At 43.7% G+C, this 27,334-nt stretch overlaps 1 protein-coding gene across 2 annotated transcripts in view, besides 1 other annotated feature; it reads right to left on the bottom strand.

Moving 5' to 3' along the window:
* Positions 1-27,334, bottom strand: part of LANCL2 (LanC like glutathione S-transferase 2) — a 68,401-nt gene that overhangs the window by 20,044 nt on the left and 21,023 nt on the right. For both annotated transcript variants that reach the window (NM_018697.4, XM_047420614.1), the window contains 5 exons: positions 21,784-21,901; positions 15,064-15,271; positions 13,590-13,737; positions 12,374-12,520; positions 1,605-1,787 (listed from right to left, as the gene is read on the bottom strand). In NM_018697.4, the coding sequence (NP_061167.1) occupies positions 1,605-1,787; positions 12,374-12,520; positions 13,590-13,737; positions 15,064-15,271; positions 21,784-21,901 (804 nt within the window). The remainder of the gene's footprint in view (positions 1-1,604; positions 1,788-12,373; positions 12,521-13,589; positions 13,738-15,063; positions 15,272-21,783; positions 21,902-27,334) is intronic.
* Positions 10,273-11,260: an enhancer, noted in NCBI's record as "H3K27ac hESC enhancer chr7:55470127-55471114 (GRCh37/hg19 assembly coordinates)". NCBI's record gives its function as "activates a minimal SCP1, AML or CMV promoter by ChIP-STARR-seq in primed H9 embryonic stem cells {active_cell/tissue: H9 hESC(primed)}" and the evidence as "EXISTENCE:reporter gene assay evidence [ECO:0000049][PMID:30033119]".

Below are 27,334 nucleotides of genomic sequence, written 5' to 3'. Positions count from 1 at the left end.
CAGAAGCCCTGCCAGGAGGAGCTGGCCGCAGCCACCTGCAGCCCGTCAGTGGCAGAGCCGTGCTGGCTTGCTCCCAAGTGGCCAGCAGTGGTGAAAACAGATGGTGGCCACTGTCTGCAGAACTCATGAAAATGGAACTGCCCAGGAGGAAGGGTCCCCACAGGACAGCCTGGTTCCTGGCACCTGCTTGCTCTCCACAGGGCTCAGTTGAAACACAGTGGAAAAGCACACCTGGCAGCAGAGATCAGCCACCGGGAACACCCAGCTGTGTTGGCTGAGCCTCTTTAAAGTGAAGGGAAAAGGAGTTTGACAAAAAGGAGCTTCCACATTTTAGCAATTATATATTTGTTTTAAAAGTATCAGAGGGCCCCTGTCTGTACAGTCAATATTGTGCTCACACGTTATTGTTGGACATTTGTATCACAGATGTCCCTCTAGGACACTGAAGTTATAACTGCTCCAAAACTCTAAAAAAGGGAGGCAGTGATTTGAACAGAATTATGTTTTAATGTAAAAGTGAGGGTACTGTTAGGAAGATGCATCTTATTTTCAAAAAATACATTTCATTGTGTTTCACTGACCAAACGTCGTAACTTTCTGAGTTGTTTTCTTGAATGATCATATCTTATATATGATTTGAATATTTTGGTATTGTTGTAGGAGGACTAAAAATTTCTGAGAAATTAGCCTAAATCATGAGAGATAATTCCCCACAATTTTCCTAAGTAATTTATTACGGTAGCTGTAAAGAAAAAATAAAATTGACTCAGGTATCAGTTCTTATTATTTCCAGGTAGAAATATGAGTTCCACTCCATTAATTCCACCTATCTATCCTAAACAAAGAGAACTTGCCAAAATACTGTGTTGAACAGAGCAATCATTGTGTTACAGCTATATACTCTGATGTATGAGCAACAATCTCCAACATCAATTATTACAAACACAGATGTGTTAAATACAAAATAAAATTATAAAAGAAGCATCACTTCAACTTAAATGATAAATCTTAAATGATAAATCTTAGTCCAGGACAGAAATCAATAGCGCTCTTAATATTATGCCCAAATATATTTAAAGCCTACGAGAATTAATCAGTGAAGGTTTAGCCAATTTTCCTATAGTACCCCAGACGTATACAAATTTGAGTACCACTATGTCTTGAGAATAACATAACAATTTTAAACTCAAAAGTTCTTGGACAATCATAATCCAGCAATAAAGGCTTATTCAAGCAAGAAAATAAAATTATGTGAAAATGAACAAAAAAGCACTTTGGTTATAATCCTGTCCACTACCTTACTGGATATCCATACTCATTAGAATGAAAATCATCTCACCACTGCTCTGTCATCTAGGTTTTCTTTTACACATGAATATAAACCCTGTTAACACACACAATCACACACATACACACACACAGACTTGCAGCACTAATGACAGTGGTGATGAGTGGTAAAATACAGAGACTTTATTTTGTAAAAACAATCATTCTAAAAGGTTTTTAGTGTACAGTCAAATGGCCTTACCAAAGCAAGACCCAAAACCTGACAGGGAAACCTGGCTCCCCACACAGGGGACGGCCGTGACGGCGGAAGCACTGACCTTGTACGCCTGCATGAGCATGTGGATGACCCCCGGGGCGCCGTGGCACCAGTGCACCAGCCGGTCTGTTTCATTGCTTAATGATGATGGGTAATTCCCAGATCGGAATTTTTTGTGGCGCACATAATCAATACTGGGTTTCACCATTTCTGTCAAGGTTTCTTGGTCCACTTTTGCTGCCGGCTTTAAACAAACAAAAATGAAACACAAATTATTTTCTCTGAAGTTATTTCTTTTACATTGTATCATGGCTAACAAAACATCAATTACCTGGAAAACAAAAAAAGCACATAAAATTAGAATTCATTCAACTATCTGGTTATTTAAGACTTAGGCAAAACTTGTTTCAACTGTTTGAAATCTTAGTGTTATAGTGTATTTTGTCTCTTCTTTGGTGGATTAGGACTACACTCCTAAGAGAGTAGTAAAGGAAATGATTAAATGGCAAGTGAACCTAGGAGTAGATAGGTTTTGTTTTGTTGCTTTGCTTTGTTAAAATACCAATACTTGATTTCCTTCCATGGGGCTCACACCTCCTAAAAAGCCAGGTACCCCTCTTCTCCCAAATCTATATACTGGCTTTGTTACTTGGCCAAATTATTTAACCTCAGTTTCTTTATCTCTAAAATAGAATAATCATAGCACTCAACTCCTAAGGTGTTTGTAAGAAAAAAATGCATGCCTCACCCCTTCATCCAACAATTTGTGGCAATACTGCCTTTTACGAACTGAAAGCACTCATTAAATGTTACCTACTAGAATTTATTACTGAGTTTGTGTGTTAAAGTTTTACTACAGGGACTAAGACTAAAAACATAGTTGGAAAATATTTGCTAATTTTGAGGCACTGTTTTTTTAAAAGGACTTAAATAAAAACATTCAAAGAGTCTCAAGTTACTGTACAGCTTCCCATGAAAAAACCTGGTGAGAAGAGTCAGATGGCAAAGCTGGGCTAAGTGAGCATCTTAGGGTGGCATGCCAGCCCACACGCCATCTTAGGGTGACATGTTAATGCCACACAATGTCTTTGGGGTGACATGTTAATGCCACAAAATGACTTTAGGGTGACATGTTAATGCCACACAATGCCTTCAGAGTGACATGTTAACATCACACAACATCTCAGGGTGACATGTCACCACATGACATCCTTAGAATGACAGTGCCACAGAACATCTTAGGGTGACATGTTAACACCTCACATCTTTAGGGTGACACATTAGCACATGACATCCTTAGAGTGACATGTTAATGCCACACAATGTCTTTAGGGTGACACATTCACAACACACGACATCTTTAGAGTGACAGGTTAGCACCACACAAACGTCTTAGGGTGACATATTAGCACCACAGAACGTCTCAGGGTGACATGTTAACACCACACAATGTCTTTAAAGTGACATGTTAGCACCACATAAATCCGCATATTGCTAAAGTCTGAGATAGAGAACCCGCCTCTGGCCACTGATTTTTCACTTGGCTTTAATTGCACATGTCAGGGGTGACGTAAAGTACTCTCAAAACTGAAATAAAATATTGCATTGCTTTAAATTCTCATCATTCCATAAGCACCAAAGTTTACAACATGACATCTCCTACAGAATGAAATAAAAACCTCATTTCTTCAACAAAAAGTTAATTTTATTAAAAATGAAGGAAAGCTAATTTAAGGAATATCAATACTTCTAAATTTCATTGAAATAAAACTATACTTAGTAGAAAATCTTTAGGTGTTTTTCCTGATACACACTTAGAGAATATATTAGCTTTTTAAAAACTATAGGTCATTAAGTTTATTTCCAAAAGGCTACATGGTACTTTTAAAATTACTTTCTTACAGGTAATCAATACAGAACCACTTTAAAATGTCAAAAAATGTTGAGGAGCTTATCTCAAAGACCAACAGACCATGTCGTTCCTAGGACACAACTGAGTTCCTTTTTGTTGTGGTGGTTGTTAGCTGCTTATTCATATTACCACAGTATTTCTAAACAATCCATGCATGGCTGTGCCCTGAGTTACTGATTCTAGGTTTCCCCTTGTGGCAGATGAGGGACACTTTCCTTCCTCTGATCTTCCCAAGAGAATTTCACTCTGGTCACCATTTTTAGTTTCACTCTGGTCACCATCCATAATCCTGTGTTCTTTACAGACTATACTATGCAAATATTGTTTGCTCCTGAAACAGGAAATACACTGAATTACAGATATTCTTTTACACCTTTTAGTTTTTCCTGGAGTAACTTTCTCACATTTTATTTGCTTAGTTTTCTTTAAACCAGTACCTAAGCTTTTTCATACCCACCAACAGCTCTGTAAAAAGTCTCTCGATAAGATTTTCCACATGGTCAAATCTACTATGACTTTGCTTTCCCTGGAGGCGACTCTCCATAATTGGCTGCTTTCCAGGTCTTCTGTGACACTGCTGTCCTGGGACTTGCACCTGTCAACTTCCTGGGGATTCTGCTCCCCTGTCTTGTATGGGAGCCCCTCTTCCCTGGATCTGATCCTCCTTCTTAGAGTACTCCCTTGTTGTGGTAGACACCACACTCCAGTAGCTTCCTGAGATGAAGTACAGGGAAATTAAATTTGGGGGACAGGATGTTTTAAACAGTCTTTGCTCTACTCCACATTTAATTGGTAACTTTCTGGGCAGAATGCAACGTTAGAAATCATTTTTACTCAAAACTTGGAAGTTGGCCGGGCACGGTGGCTCACGCCTGTAATCCCAGCACTTTGGGAGGCCGAGGCGGGTGGATCATGAGGTCAGATCGAGACCGTCCTGGCTAATACGGTGAAACCCCATCTCCACTAAAAAATACAAAAAAAAAATTAGCCGGGCATGGTGGCAGGTGCCTGTAGTCCCAGCTACTCAGGAGTTGAGGCAGGAGAATGGCATGAACCCGGGAGGCAGAGCTTGCAGTGAGCCGAGTTCGCGCCAGTGCACTCCAGCCTGGGCAACAGAGCAAGACTCCGTCTCAAAAAAAAAAAAAACTTGGAAATCATTTCCATTTATCTTTTAGCTTCAATGAAACTGTTGCAAAGTCCAATGTCATTTTTGGACTTTGTACATAACCTGTTTTTTTCTTTTCTTTTTTTTTTTTTTTGAGACAGAGTTTCACTGTCGCCCAGGCTGGAGTGCAGTGGCACGATCTCGGCTCACTGCAACCTCCACCTCCTGGGTTCAAGCAATTCTCCTGCCTCAGCCTCCCGAGTAGCTGGGACTACAGGCGCATGCCACTACACCCAGCTATTTCCCGTCTAATGTTTTAAGCATTGTCTCTTTATCCCTTTATCTTAAGCTTTCACAATAACGGGCATGATGTGGATTTGTCTGTCTGCACTCATTGTGTAGGAAACTGGTAGGTCTTTCCAATATGCAACTATGTCCCTCATTTCTTTTTTTTTCTTTTTTTTTGAGACAGGGTCTCATACTGTTACCCAGGCTGGAGTGCAGTGGCGTGATCTCGACTCACTGCAATCTCTCCCTCCCGGGTTCGAGCGATTCTCCTGCCTCAGCCTCCCAAGCAGCTGGGATTGCAGGTGCCCGCTATGAGGCCCAGGTAATTTTTTGTATTTTTTTAGTAGAGACGGGGTTTCACTGTGTTGGCCAGGCTGGTCTCAAACTCCTGACCTCAGTGATCCGCCCACCTCGGCCTCCCAAAGTGCTGGGATTACAGGCATGAGCCACTGCGCCCAGCCTATGTCCCTCATTTCTAGAGCATATTTTTGTGTTATTTTCCTCCCTCCTATTGTGTGTTCTCCCTCACTAGGTCTCCCACTAGTCACATGCTGAACCTCCTGGATTAATCCTCTTTCTTACGTTTTCCTCTCCCATTGTCTATTTCTGCCTGCTTTCTAAGATATGTGACTTTGCTTCCCATTTTCATGAACTTATTAAAAATTCAGCTATTATATATTTTATTTTCAAGAGCTCTCTTTTTCCCTCAAATGTTTGTTTCTTGGATGCAACAGCTTCTCTTATTTCCCTGAGGATATTAATTATGAATTATTATTTATTCGAAGCTTTCTTCCACTTCCTGCTTTCTCTTTGTTTTTATTTCTACTTGTTCAGGTCTCCATCTTTCAAGCTGGGGCTTTTCTGCCATGTCCGCTCATCGGCTACTGGTCTGTGCTCACGCATAAGGCACAGCTCCTCGCTGTCCTCAGTGCACCGGAGGGGCTGCGGAACGGTGGGAATCACTGTGGAGTGGCTGGATGGGGGATTGCCAGGGGTCTCCAAAGAAGTAGACCAACGGGATGTGTAAAAGTAGAGAAAGAGATTCACTCCAAGGAACTGGCTGCAGAGGCTTCATGAGTCCACAAACTGCCTGGGGTGGCCAGCAAGCTGGAGACTCAGGAAGGAGCTGCAGCTGGAGTCTGAAAGCAGAGTGCTGGAGAATCCTCTCTTGCCTGGGGGTCCAGCATTTTGTTCTAGTCAGACCTTCAACTGATTGACAAGGCCCACTCACATCCTATGGGGCAGCTGGCTTCACTCAAAGTCCACCAACTTAAATGTAAATCTCATTCAAAAACGCCCTCAAAGAAACATCCAGAATGTCTGACCACATGTCTGGGCACCAGGGCTCAGTCAAGTTGACACATAAAATTAACCATCATGGATGGCAGACTAACTTTTTAATGGGGGCTTTCAAATACCTGTACTTATGAAACTTTTATCTGAGCTACTTGTTTCTTCGGAAAAGTGACTTCAAGCCCCGAGTGGGGTGGAGGTGGTGCTGCCCCTTGGGGTGAGGGAGAGGTGACGGTGCCTGAGGCTGGCGGTGACAGAGAGGCAGTCTCACCCTGGACCATGGACACTCACTCTCGCCCCCTATTTTTAGTTCTGTGCTTCACTCCAACTCTCTTCTACATCTGGCTTTCCTGAATTGAAAAGAGCCTAGTCAGTTTTTCCAGACCTAACTCCTTTTGTCTCCAGCACGAGTTGAAGGATAGGCAGTTCCCTCCCTGTGCTGGGTGCAGGTGCTCACAGAGGTCCAACCACTGCACATGCTCAAAGAAGCCTCCTGTGCCAGAGAGTCCCCCAAGCCCACGTATGGCAATGCCTACTGGGGACATGGCACTTTCCCCTCCTGAGTTCTGGGGTTCTGTAGAACAAACTGACTTGCTTCTCGTGGGCACCGTCCCCCTCGGGCACTGACGCCATCTTTCATCCCAGCAGGTCAGCTGTCATTCTTTTGCCTGCTTCAGTTCACAGGTTTGCAGCTGGAGCTCCAGATGTCCCCTAGCTTCATCAAAGAACTTCGGTTTCTGTTTTGTTGTTTTTCTGGTTGTTCTGAGATTATTTTCAAGAGGCGAACTGTTTTTATTCTGCTATCATGAAAGTGGAGTTCTTTTTAAGTGATATTTTAAGAGTTTTTGCATATATTGTTCTGATAGCCTTCCAACGACACCCTCCAGTTGAAACTACCACTTTTACATGACTAAACTACTAGACAATGAGAAATAAGAACCAAATTCTAAGCCCCCAACTCACTGAGCAGACCCTTTCTTGGCCAAGGAAGCCTGAGGCAACCTTGAAGCTAAGCTCCCAGTCATGACAGGCTAAGAGGTGGGGCTCACCCTGCTCTGCCCGTCCCCTGCTGACCCCATGAGGCTTTCTGCCCTAAGGGCTAAGCGGGAACCAGATCTTTCAGCCGACTCTGCACTGCCAGCGACAACCACCTGACTGCTCCCCCATCTTCTGTGGCTTCAACAACCCAAGCAGCCAGCACTTGTTCCTGAGAAGGCACCAGGGACGCTCTGGCCAGCCTATGAAGGACATGCAGGGAGGGGTTTTGTTCCTCTGCTTCACCTTTTGACTCAGAGGGTGGAAAATGCTACCCTTGGATCCCGCTTGTGCCACCATTTTCTGAACATGGATCTCAAGAAGGAGCACGAAGTCCAAGTCTGCAGGCACACACTTCTCTAGCAACTACTCCACTCCTCCTGCAGCTCACCGACACATACATTCGGCCACCTGGCTTGGCATACGTTCCTGCTCCCTTTCCACTCCCTCAGAATATTTCTGGCTTCTAGCCCAAGGCTACGTATGATTAGCTGCAGGCTGTAACCCTGTATGAGAAACAAAGCCCTCCTTTCCACATTTCTGAATCGTAGTTCTGCACTGACAACAGCCACGAACCGTGCAGCAGGGAAGAGATGCGGGCAGCTCCCCATGCTGGCTCTACCACGCCACTGCCTAAGAATCTTGAAAGAAAACCTGGCTCAATCTCTAAGTCAAGTACTTACTACATAGTGTTCCAAGTTCCTCACTTTAAAAGCAGATCAATGGAGTATTTTATGATTTGTATTCCTCCCAAGGAAGTCCATAATATACAGCAAAATCAGCCTAAACACATGAAAGACACTGGCATGGTTCTTACATTACTATGTTCCCCTAAGGGAATTAGCATTAAAAAAAAAAAGTTCCGGCCAGGCATGGTGGTGGACGCCTGTAATCCCAGCACACTCGTGGGGCTGCAGGAGAATCACTTAAACCCGGGAGATGGAGTTTGCAGTAGGCAGAGATTGTGTCACTGCACTCTAGCTTGGGCAAAAGTGAGACCCTGTCCCAAAAAAAAAAAAAAAAAAAAGTTCCTGAACCACTGTTAAAACATTTTCCCGGGAAAATACAGAATACACTATGATAGATAATTTTATGTGTCAAATTAAACATGGTGTCTGGGTGTGTCTCTAAAGGTGTTTCCAGTTGAGATTAGCATTGAACGGTGTGGACTCAGTCAGGCAGATGGCCCTCCCCAAAGTGGGTGCACCTCATCCAGTCCCTCCAAGGCCTGAACAGAACCAAAGGCAGAGAAAGAAAACATCTGTTCCTTCCTGCCTGCCGGCTTCAACCAGGGCAACAGTCTCCTCCTGCCCTTGGACTGGGATTTGGCTCCCCTGGGTCTCAGTCTTCTGACTCGGAGTGGAGTTACAGCCCTGGCATTCCCAGGTCTTAGGACTGTAGATGACAGATGATGGGGCTTCTGGGACTCCATGGTTGCGTGAGCCAATTCCTTTAAGAAATCCCATCTCATATATAATATTTATCTCCTATTGGTTGTTTCTCTGGAGAACCCTAACACATACACAAAATCTAACTGTTCAAAATAACAGTGCCATTTTTAAATGAGGTATGGAATTCTGGTTACTTTGAAAGCATGTACCTGCATCATGAAGAAAATTCACAAGCCTGTAATCCCAGTACTTTGGGAGGCTGAGGTGGGTGGATCACCAGAGGTCAGGAGTTCGAGACCAACCTGGCCAACATGGCGAAACTCCATCTCTACTAAAAATACAAAAATTAGCCAGGTGTGGCGGTGCATGCCTGTAATCCCAGCTACTCAGGAGGCTAAGGCAGAAGAATGGCTTGAACCCAGGAGGCGGAGGTTGCAGTGGGCTGAGATGGCGCCACTGCACTCCAGCCTGGGCGACAAAGCAAGATTCCATCTCAAAAAAAAAAGAAAAAAAAAGAAAGAAAATTCACAAAATGAACTATATGCATATATGCATGTTTTACTTTCAACAACAATAAACAAAGACAATAACTAGAAAAAGTTTTAATCCTGTGTAGGTATGAATTTCCTGGTTTCCTTTAGTGAGTGAGAACATGAGGCAGTAGGTTAGACATAAAAAGAATCTGAAGTAAAATTTTAAAAAGTAATATATAGGTTTTCCAGTCTAAGATATCTAAATTCTAATCCATATCCTTTGACTTACTAGTTTTGTAGTTTTGCAGAATAAAGAAAGCTTAAATTTAAAAGAAGAAGAAAGAAGGAGGAGGAGGAGAACAGTGGGCAGGAAGAAAGGTAGAGGAGGGAGGAGGAGGAGAAGAAGGAGGAGGAGGCGGTGGCAGAGGCGGCTGTGCGCTTGGCAGGGAAGAGAACTTAGGCCACAGGCTAGGCTGAAGCCCTAGGCTTATGCTCAAGCCAAGCACAGCCTGAAGCAATGTTTAGTTATGGGGTCTCTACTGGCCTGATAGAAGAGTCAGTACTCTATCGTTGTCAGGGATGTTTGAGAGACAAGATCATAACCACAGCAATAAACTCATCAAAAGCACAGAAGACAACTGACAGCAAGCAAAGTTATCAGGACATGACAAAGTCTCTGCCTCAGTTGGGTTCTGCAGGCCCTGTTGCTCCCTGAAGATTTTTCCCCATTAAGAGTTCCTACTGCAATTAACAGGAAGACAAGCACAGAAGAAAAGGGTGGGCAAGCCAGGCACGGTGGCTCATGCCTATAATCCTAGCATTTTGGGAGGCTGACGTGGGCGGATCATGAGGTCAGGAGTTTGAGACCAGCCTGGCCGATATGGTGAAACCCCGTCTCTACTAAAAATACAAAAATTAGCTGGAGGTGGTAGTGCGCGCCTGTAGTCCCAGCTGCTCGGGTGGCTGAGGCAGGAGAATCACCGGAACCTGGGAGGTGGAGGTTGCAGTGAGCCGAGATCACACCACTGCACTCCAGCCTGGGCGACAGAGTGAGACTCTGTCTCAAAAAAAAAAAAAAAAAAAACAACAAACAAACAAAAAAAACCCAGAAAAGTGTGGGGAACAGATAACTAATCTGCTTTAAGACTCCATACCGAAAGAAAATTGGAAAGGCTCCTCCTCTCCCTCTCCCTCCTCTCCCTCTCCCTCTCCCTCTCTTTCCACGGTCTCCCCCTGATGCCGAGCCAAAGCTGGACTGTACTGCTGCCATCTCGGCTCACTGCAACCTCCCTGCCTGATTCTCCTGCCTCAGCCTGCCGAGTGCCTGCGATTGCAGGCGCGCGCCGCCATGCCTGACTGGTTTTCGTATTTTTTTGGTGGAGACGGGGTTTCGCTGTGTTGGCCAGGCTGGTCTCCAGCTCCTAACCGCGAGTGATCCGCCAGCCTCGGCCTCCCGAGGTGCCGGGATGGCAGACGGAGTCGCGTTCACTCACTCAGTGTTCAATGGTGCCCAGGCTGGAGTGCAGTGGCGTGATCTCGGCTCGCTACAACCTCCACCTCCCAGCTGCCTGCCTTGGCCCCCCAAAGTGCCGAGATTGCAGCCTCTGCCCGGCCGCCACCCCGTCTGGGAAGTGAGGAGCGTCTCTGCCTGGCCGCCCATCGTCTGGGATGTGAGGAGCCTCTCTGCCTGGCTGCCCAGTCTGGAAAGTGAGGAGCATCTCTGCCCAGCCGCCATCCCATCTAGGAAGTGAGGAGCGTCTCTGCCAGGCCGCCCATCGTCTGAGATGTGGGGAGCGCCTCTGCCCTGCCGCCCCGTCTGGGATGTGAGGAGCGTCTCTGCCCGGCCGCCCCGTCTGAGAAGTGAGGAGACCCTCCGCCCGGCAACCGCCCCGTCTGAGAAGTGAGGAGCGTCTCCGCCCGGCAGCCACCCCGTCTGGGAGGGAGGTGGGGGTCAGCCCCCCGCCCGGCCAGCCGCCCCGTCCGGAAGGGAGGTGGGGGGGTTAGCCCCCCGCCCAGCCAGCCGCCCCATCCGGGAGGGAGGTGGGGGGGTCATCCCCCGCCTGGCCAGCCGCCCCGTCCGGGAAGGATGTGGGGGGGTCAGCCCCCCGCCCGGCAAGCCGCCCCATCCGGGAGGTGGGGGGCGCCTCTGCCCGGCCGCCCCTACTGGGAGGAGAGGAGCCCCTCTGCCCGGCCAGCCGCCCCGTCCGGGAGGGAGGTGGTGGGGTCAGCCCCCCGCCCGGCCAGCCGCCCCGTCCGGGAGGTGAGGGGCGCCTCTGCCTGGCCGCCCCTACTGGGAAGTAAGGAGCCCCTCTGCCCGGCCAGCCGCCCCGTCCGGGGAGGGAGGCGGGGAGGTCAGCCCCCCGCCCGGCCAGCCGCCCCGTCCGGGAGGGAGGCGGGGGGGTCAGCCCCCCGCCCGGCCAGCCGCCCCGTCCGGGAGGTGAGGGGCGCCTCTGCCTGGCCGCCCCTACTGGGAAGTGAGGAGCCCCTCTGCCCGGCCAGCCGCCCCGTCCGGGAGGTGAGGGGCGCCTCTGCCCGGCCGCCCCTACTGGGAAGTGAGGAGCCCCTCTGCCCGGCCACCACCCCGTCTGGGAGGTGTACTCAACAGCTCATTGAGAACGGGCCATGATGACAATGGCGGTTTTGTGGAATAGAAAGGGGGGAAAGGTGGGGAAAAGATTGAGAAATCGGATGGTTGCCATGTCTGTGTAGAAAGAGGTAGACATGGGAGACTTTTCATTTTGTTCTGTACTAAGAAAAATTCTTCTGCCTTGGGATCCTGTTGATCTGTGACCTTACCCCCAACCCTGTGCTCTCTGAAACATGTGCTGTGTCCACTCAGGGTTAAATGGATTAAGGGTGGTGCAAGATGTGCTTTGTTAAACAAGATGCTTGAAGGCAGCATGCTCGTTAAGAGTCATCACCACTCCCTAATCTCAAGTACCCAGGGACACAAACACTGCAGAGGGCCGCAGGGTCCTCTGCCTAGGAAAACCAGAGACCTTTGTTCACTTATCTGCTGACCTTCCCTCCACTACTGTCCTGTGACCCTGCCAAATCCCCCTCTGCGAGAAACACCCAAGAATGATCAAAAAAAAAAAAAAAAGAAAATTGGAAAAAAAAAAAAAAAAAAAAAAAAAAGACTCCATACCAAATGTACTCAGGAACTCACTGGACTCTTAGAAATCCACTGCCTGTGGTTTATGTGGCAGAGTTACGCATCAGCGATTCAAAGTAGGGTATTTCAATCCAGACTGCTTTGTTTATATGCAGGATTCATTTCCCATTTCATGTTTGATCAAATATACTGTAGTGTGTAAGAGTATTCTTACCTACCTGCATTAACATATAGTAAATTCCAGCCATGCCATGGGCTGCTCCAACGTACTGCTTCCGGTGCCACTGGTACAACAGCGGGCAGCGCTCCGTTTTTCTTTCTTCCCTTGACAAAGTCTTACCCGATTCAATAATAGCATTGACTACCTACAGAGATAACAAGACAGCATAAATCTAAAACTGTATATGTACCCTGTTGTAGTCTAATTAACAGTATGTCATATATATATGACATATATAGAGAGAGAGGCAGAAGCCTTAATCTAAAAGTCTTTAAGCAGTTAGCAGCTAATATAGTTATATTTATTTTATAAATTAATAAATGCAGGCAAAAAGAAATCAGGAGCCAATGTCAGAGTAGGAAAAGATACTGTCTAAGAAATAAAAAATTCTTTGCATAAAAAGTCAACGAAAAATCTAGAAAAACTTCTTATAAAACTGTTTTGGATTTCTTAGTTGCTTCGTAGCTGCAGTATTTTTCCCAAAAGAGCAGCACATACACCTATCAGGAAAGGCTGGAGGAACTGGCTTTATTTATAAAAGGCTAATGATATGAGGTCTGCTGTGGCATGAAGGATTTCAGTTAGATCAACAGAATATCATGTCTGGGATGACTGTTTCCTCACGTCTATCTCCTCTCATCCTTTTTGGGAAAGTATTCCAAGTTTTAGCTGGGCATCTGGCTCCCTAGTTAGAGACAGCTGAACACAGACACTTGATGAAGTTCTGGCACTGGGATGGGAGCAGAAGTAAAGAGGGCAACTTGGAGACTGAGTCCCTAACAAGGAAGCTGCGTTGCCTCCACCTCCTCTTTTCCCTTCATAGGCTGAGGGGCTAAACTAGCCTTGGTCCTGCAAATAAGGGTATGCCCCTAGGATAAGGCAGAATGAGACAGAAGAAGCTGGTCCCCACTCATACCAGCCTGAAATGCTTACCAGCTGAGACATCTCACGAAAGATAAATAAACATTCTAACTTTCTGAAGCTGCTGCTGTTTAGCTCCAGTAAAAACTGATAAATTAATACAAGATGAAAGAGAGTACAGATTTTTTTTGTTAATGTTCCTAGAAAAAAGCAGGGACTATTTCTTACTTTTGATGAGTTGCTTTAAAAAAGTAATGCTACCTAGAAGTAAAGTCCAGCTGTTAATACAACTCAATGCTAGCAAATAGGTTTGAATGGTAGAGACGCCCATAGTTACCCATACCCCATAGTACCTCTTTAATAGCTGACTCACACACGGTGCCTGGACCTATCTCTGTGTTCAGGTACAGTAAGGCATACAGATAACCTGCCCGTCCATAAAGCAGCTCATCAGGAAGGTCTGATTCTTGGCAGACAACCGATCTCTGGAGCTGCAAAAGTCTAACCAATAAGAAAAATTAATTTTTTCCCAGTGGAAGTCTAAAGTACTTCTTCCTGAAACACTAACCCTGTTGCTTTAGGAATTACCTATTATTTATTTTACATTTAAAACAATTATTTTTAAAAATACTCCCAAATCCAGAACACAACAAAAACGTCTCCAGTTTACTAGTCCCCTTTTGAATGTCAAAATTAAAAACAAAACATCTTTCTGTTAATTTCTACCTTTACATCTATTTTAAACCATAAAATTTTATTTTGAAATCCAGAAGTAAAAGAAAGTGATTTAAAATTTAAATAAAAATGGTACTGCAGGCCGGGCACGGTGGCTCACGCCTATAATCCCAGCACTTTGGGAGGCCGAGGTAGGTGGATCACCTGAGGTCAGGAGTTCAAGACCAGCCTGACCAACATGGTGAAACCCCGTCTCTACTAAAAATGCAAAACTAGCTGGGTGTGGTGGCACATGCTTGTAATCCCAGCTACTTTGGAGGCTGAGGCAGGAGAATCCCTTGAACCCAGGAGGCGGACGTTGCAGTGAGCTGAGATCGCGCCATTGCACTCCAGCCTGGGCAACAAGAGCGAAATTCCATCTCAGAAAAAAAAAAAAAAGGACTGCAATGTCACCAATGCTTGGGAATTAGACTGTCATTCTGTCTTTTTTTTTTTCTTTCTTTTTCTTTAGAGACAGGGTCTTGCTCTGTTGCCCTGGCTGGTGTGCAGTGACAGGATGATGGCTCACCGCAGCCTTGAACTCCTGAGCTCAAGTGATCCTCCTGCCTCAGCCTCCCAAGTTAATGGAACTACAAGCACATGCCACTATACCCAGCGTCATCCTATCTTTCAACAAACATTAACTGACTAGCACGTGCCAGATACTCTACCAGACCCTAGGAATGAACCGTGATTTCTGCTTCTTCAAGGAAGAACGTAAACCAATAGGTGCAATAAAAGCTTACATTCCCTAATTGTTCCATCATTAGCATATCTAATCAGTTACTTAAGGGTTGAACCTAACATCAGTTTAGTTATTATGGTGAATCTAAAGCAGGTAAGCTAATTTTCATGCATTGAAGAAAACAAAAAATTGCTTAGGAAACATGGTTAAAATAAGGAAATATATTTATTCTTCCCAAAATTAAGGCACACACATGCTTGGATAAAAAGAGGGCATATGATCCCACCACTATGCTCAAGATTAACATTTTGGAGTGATCTGTTTACAACAATGGATGAATGGAAAAATAGTTTCCTTTCTGAATATCTTTCTACAGCAAGAGCTTCCACTGGGAATTGGGAGAAAATGTTTCCAGTTCTAAAACTCACTTTGTGACACATTCCTGGGACTCACAGTCACTTCTGAGTTTGTGATAAATCACAGCTCCAACAGCCAGGGGGCCAGCATCCCCACAGAGGAAGGTGACCCTGCGGCCATTCAGATTCCGAAGTGTTCTTTTTACGTAATCCAGGGATCGGAGCAGGTAGGTTTGGTCACATGTGACCCGGTACAACTGCAGGTACAAAAGGGCTATGCCTGGAATAATTTCCCACCCCAAAAGAAAAGCATTATTATCTTTTCCTTTTATCTTCAGGACATTATTTATAATTACATGAAATACCTTCTTCTACATAAATCTATGTTTCCAAACGGGTAACACCAAAACAATACATTTCATATATTTCTTAAAAATGAATAAACAAAATAAAACCAAGACAGAGAAATCAGGGAGGAAAGAACAGAAACCATGTTTGTACATGTTATCTTGGTGCTTGTCCTGGCACAGTGATTTAATACCTCTTATTCACAGACAACAGAAGATACATCACTTCCTACTCATCCTCAGTTAATTTTCATTCATTCCAAGGTTGTATTCATTCTCCCTTGTAGATCCTAACTTGGATCTTCTTCTTTTTACTTATTGTAAAATCATTTCTCCTATGTTATCCCAAATGATTGCTTTTCTGAACTTTATACTCCCTTCTTCCTATTTTTTTTTCTATTTTTCCCAATTTTTCAATGTTCTTTAGTGAACAACCCTACAACTGACCAATGAACTGGTGAGTGAACTCGCCATTTCTGGAGCAGCCACACAGTACAGAGTAAGGTGATCAGTACAAAGGGCGTGTGTGGTTCACCACCCACCAACCTTTCCATTCTAGATAAAGAACAGACTCAGGTCTTCAAATGAATCTGAGAATCTCCAAAGAAGGGCCTATATGGCTTCTTAAAGAAGCATGTCCTTACATCTGGGTTCGAGAAGACAATATGACAGCTAAGTAAAAAAAAAAAAAAAAAAAAAGAATCAGTATAAATATGTATTTACTGAAGTCTTTTATAGGAACCAACATTGACAGAGATGACATGCTGGTGAAAAGGGCAAATGAAATATTTCTTTCATGTTTAAGTTGAGGTTCTTCAATATTCTAGTCTTTGTCTAATAATATCCTACTCTGCTTTTACTATTTTTCATTTTGCTTTTTTTTTTTTTTTTTTTTGAGACAGAGTCTTGCTCTGTTGCCCAGGCTGGAGTGCAGCAGCACGATCTCGGCTCACTGCAACCTCTGCCTCCCGGGTTCAAGTGATTCTCCTGCCTCAGCCTCCTGAGTAGCTGGGATTACAGGCACATGCCACCATGCCTGGCTATTTTTTGTATTTTCAGTAGAGACGGGTTTTCACCATGTTGGTCAGGCTGGTCTTGAACTCCTGACTTCGTGATCCGCCCACCTTGGCCTCCCAAAGTGCTGGGATTAACAGGCGTGAACCACTGCACCCAGCCTCATTTTGCTTTTTAAATTTCTCCAAATATCTAGCTTCTTCTTTCTTCAATTTTTCTATTCAGGGTATATAACTTCTCTTTCAAATTAATCCTTAACACTTTTTGAAGTCTTTCATCATTATCCATTTCTTTAAAGATGTTGAGTCAAACGGATATGAAAGTAGAATATTTGGAAGCTCTGAAAAAAAAATTCTTCAGCATGAGTTGCTTATCATCTCCCTGAGAGCATGTTTTCTGTATTCAAAAAATATAAGCATACAGGAAACAGACAGTAAAAGTTAAATACTTACAAATTTCAAACATAATAATCACTATAAAGGCTTACAAATGAGTATTCCCTGATTTACTCAGAAATCTCTAAAAATAGGATGTTGATCTGATTAACCTATGAACCTAAAAACTTACAGTTATATATACTTAATGCTTCAGTATTTTAAAGCAAATGGTAAAAGGTAAAGTAAAAAAAAAAAGGTCATCATGCTTTGTCGTTTTTTGTTGGCAGGCGGACACGTTGCACTAGGTAAAAGGAGCTGGAATGAACAGGCCCTTAGGGATGTGGTGGGAGGTGCTGGGGAGCACGCGCCTGTGAGCAGGCTCAACCTTCTGGCCAGCCTGTGCCTTTGGACTGTGAACTGCACCAGTGCCTCCCATCCCCACGCCCTCAGTTGGCCAGGATGGCCAGCAGAAGCTGCAGCTGATCATCTCCCTTCCCCAATGCTGAAAGCTAGAACCAGCTGGAGCTAGGCATCTCCCTTGCTCCGGGTAGGCGGGGCTGCGATAAACCCTTTGCAGGAGAGGCTCCGGTGAAGCAATTTCTCCAGAGGGCAGGGCTTGTCAAGAACTGAAGGCTCTGATGGAATTCAGTATGGTTCCTTCCCCCGAACCTATGAGAAGCATGAGGGGAGTTGTCTCTGATACTCACCATGAAGACCTGGTGGAGCTCCTAGAGGTAAAGTTCACAAAAGTGTGAGAGCCCCCTATGACTGGGTCCCCATTGAGTTTTTAGTCTCTCTGGCTTGCCCACACTGAGCCCCCACAATTCATATTTAAAGTTTAGGTCAACAACAAACTGCATAGGCATAGTCCCATAAGATCGTAATCATAATACCATATTTTTACTGTACCTTTTCTATATCTATGTTTAGATACAAAAACACCATTGTGTTACAATTGCTACAGTATTCAGTGCAGTAATGCTGTACAGCTTTGCAGCCTAGGAGCAACAGGCTATCTCACAGAGCACAGGGGTGTAGTTGGCTACACAATCTAGGTGTGTGTGAGCACCTCTATATCTGCACAATGAAACTGCTCAATGATGCGTTTCTCAGAACTCATCCATGATGTGAAGCGATGCATGACTGTAATTCTCGGCATCCACCTGTTTCGCCAGTTTTTGGTGGAGCAGTTTGCCCCTGTGACCTCACTTCTCTGATGGAGCTAAGAAGAGCTGTTTAGTTTTCACTTTGTTCAGCTTTTTAGTTGCTAGGATGCAATGGTGACTTGTAAACTCTTTATATGCTAGACTGGAAAACTGAAGTCTCTCTTTATCTTTCTTTCTCTTTGATTTTTTTCCTTGATAGTTTCATTTAGTCACTTATTTATTAAGCAAACATTTATGACACCCTTCCTAGACACAAGGACACTCTGCCCCGGTGCTCTCTGTGGGATCAGCTCTTTCTTTGGCTCCTTGCGCTTTGGTTTCATTTCTGAAATGATTTTTTATCTTTTCTTTAAATTTCTTTTCTTAGTCTGTCAATTCTTATTTCACATGCTCTTACTGTCTAGCCATCTCTGCTCTGAATGTCTTTACCTCCGCTTTGTGAACTCACTGCTTAACTAAGTTACAAAATGAATGTTGAAAGTACTGCCAATTTTTCTCCACTTTGTAGTGACATTTTCCTGGTGCGTTTTTCTCCCTCCACTGAGAAATTTTTATTTTTCTTCTTTATATTATGGATAAAATAATTATATTTTTTCTTAAAATTGAATTTTTCTATATCAACTATTAATAGGACAAATCCCTGGAAGGGGAAAATGGTTAATGTAGCTTTCCCAACTTTTATCCCAACAGTGTCCTCTTGCTAAGTGAAGAACAGTGTATGTTACATACAGGGAGTCTGGTGGCCAGATTTCCTGACTCTCAGACCCTTCCTTGTATCAGGAGTGCCCACTGCTACTGCTTCCTTCCTTCCCTACACTGTCAGCGGGGGCCAGCAAGGATGCCGCTCCACCTTGCAAGCTAAACCTGCTTCTCCGCAAGCCATGCCTGTTCTACAGCTCTCCAACCCCATTCCCTGTGCACTTTCCATGCCTTTATTCCCAGCTTCTCCTGGCACACCGCCTGCCCGCTCTGCACTCAGATGTGCCCACAGAAGTTCCCACTGAGGCTGTGGCCCACTCTGCCTGGAATAGCTATTTGCTGATTCTGGGAGGGTGGGTGGGGTCGGAGTGATTCAGCCATGCCTGGACCCTGGGCTTCCTCTTTGCACACCATGGCTCTCCACACTTGTTCTGGATGCTGCTTGTTTTTTACCCAACATGACTTGTGTGTTTTCTGTCTCAAAGTTTTGCTAAAGGGATAAGTTGTGGGTGCTTCATTCATTCTTCTTCTTCTTTTGTTGAGACAGGGTCTCACTCTGTCACCCAGGCTGGAGTGCAGCAGTGTAATCATGGCTCACTGCAGCCTCGACCTCCTGGGCTTGAGCCATCCTCCTGCCTCAGCCTCCTGAGTAGTTGGCACTACAGGTGTTTACCACTGTGCCCAGCTAATTTTAGAGATGGGGTCTTGTTATGTTGCCCAGGCTGGTCTCAAACTCCTGGCCTCAAACCATCCTCCCACCTCCATCTCCCAAAGTGCTGGGATTACAGGTATGAGCCACTGTGCCCAGCCTTCTTCCTATATCGTATACACAGTTTAGGGGAGGTATGGATCTAGGTGGATTCCATACATCTACCTGAACCCCTAAACCCTATTATTTTAAATCACTGAAACCAAATACTTCCATGATGATTCCTAAAGACAGCAATGGCTAGGGATTTTTAAGCAATACTGATTTCTGGAACCCACCTCTAGAGTTCCTAATGTAACTCTTCTGGGCTGGAGGCTGAGAACTGTGGTTTCTTACAAAGCTCTCTTGGTAATTGTGATGCATAGCCAGTTTGGAACCTAACGATCAGGGGTTTAGAAACCCTTTCTCAACAAGCGAAAAAGCTGTAAATAAAAGGCTTGTTAGGGGAAACCCGTTGAGACTAATAGCTATGTTATTTTCCTTCCAAAATATCCTTATTCTTTGTATTTTACTTCAGGTTAGCCACAATTATCTAATTTTATTACATTTAAGATATCTTTGGTCCTGTAAGTGAACTGGCTCCATGTCTGTCTGGGTTTATAAGTGTGAAGTTTGAAGTAAGTTTATAAGTTTGAAATATGTAATGTCACTATGTAAATGTTGCATGCATAATAGGCAAATAATAAGCATCACAAAAACGAATGTAAATATAAATACAATATTCACAAAAATGAATGTAAATATAAATACAAATACAATATTATCAAGGGCCCATGTTTGGTTCATGGTGGCTCTAACATGTATATCTCTGTCTATGCTGTTTTTTTTTGGTTTTTGGTTTGCTTGTTTTTTTCTTTTTGAGACAGGGTCTCACTCCTGTTGCCCAGACTGGAGTGTAATGATGTGATCTCAGCTCACTACAACCTCCGCCTCTGGGCTCAATTGATTCTCCTGCTTCAGCGTTCCCAGTAGCTGGGACTATAGGCCCATGCCACTATGCCCAGCTAATTTTCGTATTTTTAGTAGAGACAGGTTTTGCCATGTTGCCCAGGCTGGTCTTGAACTCCTGAGCTCAAGTGATCTGCCGTCTTTGGCCTCCCAAAGTGCTTTGGATTACAGGCTTGAGCCACCGCACCTGGCCTATGCTGTTTATTAATTAAGCTACAAGAATTCAGCAAGAAATCACTCTAAATCTGTATATAAATTGTCATTAGCAATTTGGACTTCAGTCTAATCCCTGAGAACAAGGTTATCTTTTATATCCTTTATATTCCCCGAATAATTATTAGAATGTTCTGAATACTGGGTAAAATAATAAGAATGCAAAGATTAGTTAAGGCAAGTTAATTTTTCAATTACATTTTTTGATGTGAAGTGTATTATTGGTTGTTATCATTAAAATAAAAATAAAAACATTTATGTGCACAAATGAGTCAAATGAGTACAGGCAGTAGGGTAGTTAGTTTATATCACAGAACAGAGAGACCACTCACCACAGCCTGTCACAATGACCAGAGCAGCAAAGAATCCTTTAAAACTGACCCTAGGGAAAGTTTGCTCTTAATAGTTACACATTTTCATAGACAGCTATATATTAGGTTAAATAAATAATGTTATAAAAAAAAGACACACTAGATATTAAAGTTTAAACTTCAGGAAGAAAGCATTTCTTTAGAAATAAAATTCCAAATCATCTCATCATTGAAGACATAGAGCAAGACCTCAATTAAAAGGTATAAAATCAGCCAGGCTAGTGGCTCACGCCTGTAATCCCAGCACTTTGGGAGGCTGAAGCAGGAGGATCGCTTGAGCCCAGGAATTTGAGACCAACCTCAGCAACAGTGAGACTCCGTCTTTACAAAAAATCAAAAAATTAGCCAGGTGTGGTGGCATGTGCCTGTGGTCCCAGCTACACAGGAGGCTGAGGCAAGAGGATGGTTTGAGCCCAGGAGGTCAAGGCTGTAGAGAGCTGTGATTGCACCACTGTACTCTAGCCCAGGCAACAGACACTGTACTCTAGCCCAGGCAACAGAGACTCCGTCTCAAAAAAAAAAAAAGAAAAAAAAAAGATATAAAATCTTTACCATTTTATTTTTTTCAGATGGAGTCTCACTCTGTGGCTCAGGCTGGAGTGCAGTGGCACAATCTCGGCTCACTGCAACCTCCGCTTCCCAGGTTCAAGCAATTCTCCTGCCTCAGCCTCCCAAGTAGCTGGGATTACAGGTGCCCGACACCACACCTGGCTAATTTTTATATTTTTAGTAGAAACGGGGTTTCACCATGTTGGCCAAGCTGGTCTCGAATTCCTAAGCTCAGGTGATCCACCTGCCTCGGCCTCCAAATGTGCTGGGATTACAGGCGTCAGCCACCGTGCCTGGCCAAATCTTTACCATTTTAAAAGAGAAGAAAATTTCAGTCAAGTCTTACATCTCATAATCTAAGAATAAAATGTATCAGTGATTTAGACCCCACAGCCTCACCTGTCCAGCCAGTATAAGCAGAGCAGTCATGGGGATCAGCTGTCTTCAGCCCTTCTTCCATTTGCTGCAGAAGATCTTTAATTTTGGTCTGGATCCGTCTTATGAAATTATGAATGATCTGAGATCCAAAAGAAGAGATAACTTTAACTTCACAAGAATGGGACAATGTTGCAATAAATACTTTAAAGTCTAAGTTGTACAAACATAACAGACAGAAGTTACTTTCCTTGGACCATCTCAGTGCATCATTGGTTGGAGTCTATCTTGGTTTTTATAAGGTTACTTTTTTTAATGAGATAATACCCTATTTAGACTATAACTCATAAGTAGAATCACAAAAAACAACAAACAACTTGCAGAAATCAAAGAATTAAAAAAAAAAGGAAAAATGGATGGATTTAACTATATAAACATTTCAACTTCTGTAAGATCAAGAACATCAGAAAGATGGTTTAAAAGTTAATGACAAAGGGGAAATACATAGAATATAAGATATAAATCAACAATAAACATAATACATAACTAGACCCCAAATTATTAACATCTTCATACAAAAGAAAAAACAAATGATAAGCATACACAAAAAAAGTTCAGGCCGGGCGCGGTGGCTCACGCCTGTAATCCCAGCACTTTGGGAGGCCGAGGCGGGCGGATCACGAGGTCAGGAGATCGAGACCATCCTGGCTAACACAGTGAAACCCCGTCTCTACTAAAAAACACAAAAAAATTAGCCGGGCGTGGTGGCGGGCGCCTGTAGTCCCAGCTACGCGGGAGGCTGAGGCAGGAGAATGGCGTGAACCCGGGAGGCGGAGCTTACAGTGAGCCGAGATCGCACCACTGCACTCCAGCCTGGGCGACAGAGCGAGACTCCATCTCAAAAAAAAAAAAAAAAAAAAGTTCAATCACTCAGTAACTAATGAAATGCAAATAAAAACAAGTACCATGGATTTCTTACCAGATTAAAAAATATATATATATAAAAAGAATTAAGTCCCAAGACTAAGAGCAAACAAAATAGGTATTCTTATTCATTGTTGGCAGTCTCTCCAAAGAGAAATACGCAATATTCTTAAATAATGTAGCTTAACAGTGTTGTTAAGATCTTTCCTACCTTTGCTGATTTTTTTTTTTTGAGACAGTTTTGCTCTGTCGCTCAGGCTGGAGTGCTGTGGTGTGATCTCAGTTCACTGCAACCTCCACCTCCTGGGTTCAAGAGATTCTTCTGCCTCAGCCTCCCGAGTAGCTGGGACTACAGGCGCTTGCCACCACGCCCAGCTAATTTTTGTATTTTTAGTAGAGATGGGGTGAGACAGAGTTTCGCTCGTCACCCAGGCTGGAGTGCAATGGTGCGATCTTGGCTCACTGCAACCTCTGCCTCCTGGCTTCAAGCGATTCTCCTGCCTCAGCCTCCTGAGTAACTGGGATTACAAGCACCCGCCACCACACCCGACTAATTTTTGTATTTTTAGTAGAGATGGGGTTTCACCATGTTGGCCAGGCTGGTCTTGAACACCTGACCTCAAGTGATCCACCCACCTCGGCCTCTCAAAGTGCTGGGATTATAGGCATGAGCCACTGCACCTGGCCCACCTTTGCTGATTTTTATAAATCTACTTGCTCTATTAATTGGGAGGTTTCCCCTTATGACTATGGAATTATTTCTCCCTTTAACTCTCTCTCTCTTTTTGCTTTCATATATTTGGAAGTTCTGTTATTAAGCATAGGCAAATTAATGGCTAGTACGTCTTCCTGACAAACCGACTCAGTTTCATAATGAAATGTTCTTCCGTGAGATTGTAAAGAAAATACTTTTAGGTTTCTGCACAATTAGGGCTTTGAGGGCAAATTCTACTGAAATTTGGGATTCTGGACTAAAAGTAAACCTTAGGAACTAAGGCTTGCAGCGTGTGAACTCCAGAGAAGTTTCCTCAATCCTGGATGTGCATGTTTACATTTCAAAGTGCCATGAGGCCCCAGAACCAGGAGACATTTCTGACTTGTAAAACTGAAGACAATGGGCTCATCTTTTCCATACAGATATTTATGTACATTCTGAAAAGATTAAACAAAGATGATGCTAATGAGACTCTCTCAGAAAGGGAAGGGGAGACAACTGCCTTTTCCCCTTTTATAAAAAAGCACAGACAATTTACTTTCCTTCTTTCCTTATCTACAATACTGGCTTTGCTGATGAAGGCCATCATACCCTACCTGCACTGCATTGTACCACAGATAAGAACTGGGACCCGGGAACTGCCCACTGGTTATTTGTTGTCAGGTAAATAGGAAGAAATTCCTGATTCAAAAACCTTTTGCTACACTCTGGACAAAATTAATTAACATAAGTATCAAAACTGAACACCCTCTTTACCTGCTCGCCCTAAGAGCTATTTTATGGGACATTTCACACAGTCACTAAGTTTTCAGATGCCCACTGCTTGCTTACTTGGCCATCCATTCACTTTCAACCTTTTTCTTTATATTTAAAGTCCATCTCTTGTGTAACATACAGTTAGGTCTTTGTTAATTTATTCTGATAGTCTTAGAGTCCCTCAGTGGACATAAGCGGAACCCTCTTCATTGGCAGGATGACCTAAGAGAAACTGCAGTTCAGTCAACCCCGAGTGACACCTTTTCCAGTCCCACTGTGGGACAGACCCCATTTATTCCTGCAGACTCACCTCTAGGCTGTATTTTTTAAAAACTGGAATGAATTCAACCCCCAGATCCTCAAAAACAAATGTCTAACTTTCTTGTGTAACACAGCATGGCTCCTATGCAGAAAAACATCAAATTCGCTTCCTTAGTCTTTTATAACCAAAAGCAGCATAAGGAGGACAGGGCAAAGAAAAGAAAAAGGAAGAAAAAGAAAAACATACAAACAAGAAGCACAGGCAGGCTCAACTGTTGGCTGTTCTAAAGCCCCCAGCCCCCTCCAGGTTTCCCTAAGGATACTCCTCCAAATGACTGCTACCAGTGGAGAGGGTCAGGCCACTCAAAGGCAAACGGCCCTCAATGAGATAAACGGGAAAAGCCCCACTTGACTTGTGCCCTCTGCCACAAGCTCAGCCACTGTAAATGAGGCCTGAGGACCAAAGGGCTCCCAGGACAGAATCCCAACCCCTGAAAGCCTTGAGCTGAAGGGGCTCTCTGCTCCAGTTGAAAACAGCTCACCTTAAGTGGTGACTTGAAGAGATGGGAAAAATTCGTCCTATACCATGTAGGTCTGAGATGTCAAGGCTCTCCCTGACTGATGGAGATAAAGGATAAAGGAAAGTAGTAAAGGGACTGGCCCTGCACCTTGCAATGGCTGGATGGTTCACAAGTCCTCCTGTAAAGCTTAACTCTTTCCTCTCCATTCCTTTCTTTAACAGAGTCTCTCTGTTGCCCAGGCTGGAATGCAGTGGCACCATCTTGGCTCACTGCAGCCTCTGCCTCCCAGGTTCAAGCCATTCTCGTGCCTCAGCCTCCCAAGTAGCTGGGATTACAGGCATGCACCACCACACCTGGCTAATTTTTGTATTTTTAGTAGAGACAGAGTTTTACCCTGTTGGCCAGCCTGGTCTCAAACTCATGGCCTCAAGTGATCCACCTGCCTCCGCCTCCCAAAGGGCTGGGATTACAGATGTGAGCCACAGTGCCCGGCCCATTCCTTTCTTCTATTTTCTTCTTTTTCTGTTCAATCCAGGGGTCGAGCCTTAAAAGAGAAAAAGTCTCTAACATCCTAACCCCTGATTTTGTCATTTTCTTTAAAACTCCAGCTGGTTACATATTATGGCCCGTTTTTGTGCACATTTTAAACTGATAGACAAGCTACAAGAGAAATTCAGAGCTCAAATGGTTAACCTACAATGTAGAGTTATGTAGAATTTTCTAAAGCTCTCTTCCCCTCTTTCTTCCTAACTGCTTTAAATCTGTTGTTACCAAGTTGCTGGTGCTAAGACTCATTATTTATGGTGCAACTAATATGTAAACGTTGAAAACTCATTTAAAGTTAAAGAAGAAAAGGAAAAGAGGTATTTTTAGTAAGGAAGGGTATAATAAGAAATTTTACAGAAAAAAATCTTCTATGGTAAATTATTATCTTAAAGTAAGGTTGTTTTTTAAAAAGGATATTTAGAACAAGTCAAAGTCCAAGTATGTCATAAACGGTCTGTGTAAGTCATGAAAAGGTTCATGAAGGAGAATTTATAAAAGGAATTTTGTATGTAATTAAGTTGGTTATAATTTTAAAAAATTATTTAGGATAGTCTTTGTAACATTAATCCTCTATGTTAAAACAAGGTTTTCTTAAGGTATTAATCTGCTCTTAATAAAACTGCAAAAAGTTTTACTCAGAATTTTATAAAAGTTTCTAAAAAAAAAAAAAACCAAAAAAAACTCAGAAGCATATATCAGAAGTTCAACGTTTGCTGTGTCCCAGTTTGCTGTGTCCCACTGCGTTCAGCTTTTTCTCCCCTGGAGGAGGCCTAGGATAGTAACTCTCTTCTGCAGTCTTTGTCAGTTCCTGTAACTTTTTCCACCAGTTCTGTTATTGTGGCCTAGTGCTAAAACGTTTCTTTTTGAAGGTCAACATTAACCAATGTTTTCCTCTAACATAACTTAAATCTGTACTCCTGGATTTTCTTGACATTTATCTAAATTCTCAATGTAATCAAAAACGTCTCACACTGTTCCTATGAGTCATGTGTTCCCCTGCTATACTCATAACCTCCTAACCCTAAACACACTCTTCCTGTGTCTAATTAAATTCAAACACTTTTTCATCAAGTTTAACTTCCAGGTTAACTAAATGGACACCCCTCCAAAAAAAGTCACACTGCAAAAGGTTTTTCTTTGCGTTTTTGGTAACTGGCTTTAAAAAAAACCCAAACTTTTATCTTCTAGAGTTCATCAGTTTCACCTTCAAATGATGCTGCAAATTGCATAACAATCTCTCCCCAGTAATGCCTGCTACCTTTACGAATTTCCCTGGGATTCAGCTGAACACCAGTTTCACCCTAACATAATCCCCATCTCTAACAAGTCCCTTTCTCCAGCAAGGTCCAATATCCTACATTCCACAATCCAAAACAGTAACCCACGTAACTTCTCAACCAACTAACAATCCTAGTAGGGCCAGCTCTATGACCTAGTCAGCAGGAAGCAGCTGGAAGATGATACCTTCACCCACATGCCAAAGATCTGTCACTGTTGCTCTGTCATGGGGGAAATGTGGAGTCCTAATTGGGGAAAAGAAGTCATGCTGGTAGGAGCAGTGGGAAGCAAAAAAAAGCCGGATAAGCTAAAGTCCGTCTTTCTTCAGGGTCCAGAACATGTAGCCCTCCTGTGCCCAACTTACGACCAGACACCTACAACTTAGCTCACAGCAGCCTTGGCATTACTGGTACTGCACAAAGCTCTCCAGCACACCCCACACCACCATTCTGTAAAACCAATCCCAGCAAGCCTTTGTTTCCATACAGTCATGTTGCGGGAAGTCAGGGACCCCCAAACAGAGGGACCGGCTGAAGCCATGAGAGAAGAATGTGGATTGTGAAGATTTAATGGA

The sequence above is a fragment of the Homo sapiens genome, chromosome 7, assembly GCF_000001405.40.
Source record: "Homo sapiens chromosome 7, GRCh38.p14 Primary Assembly".
Taxonomy (NCBI): domain Eukaryota; kingdom Metazoa; phylum Chordata; class Mammalia; order Primates; family Hominidae; genus Homo; species Homo sapiens.
This window is presented reverse-complemented; position numbering and strand designations above follow the sequence as displayed.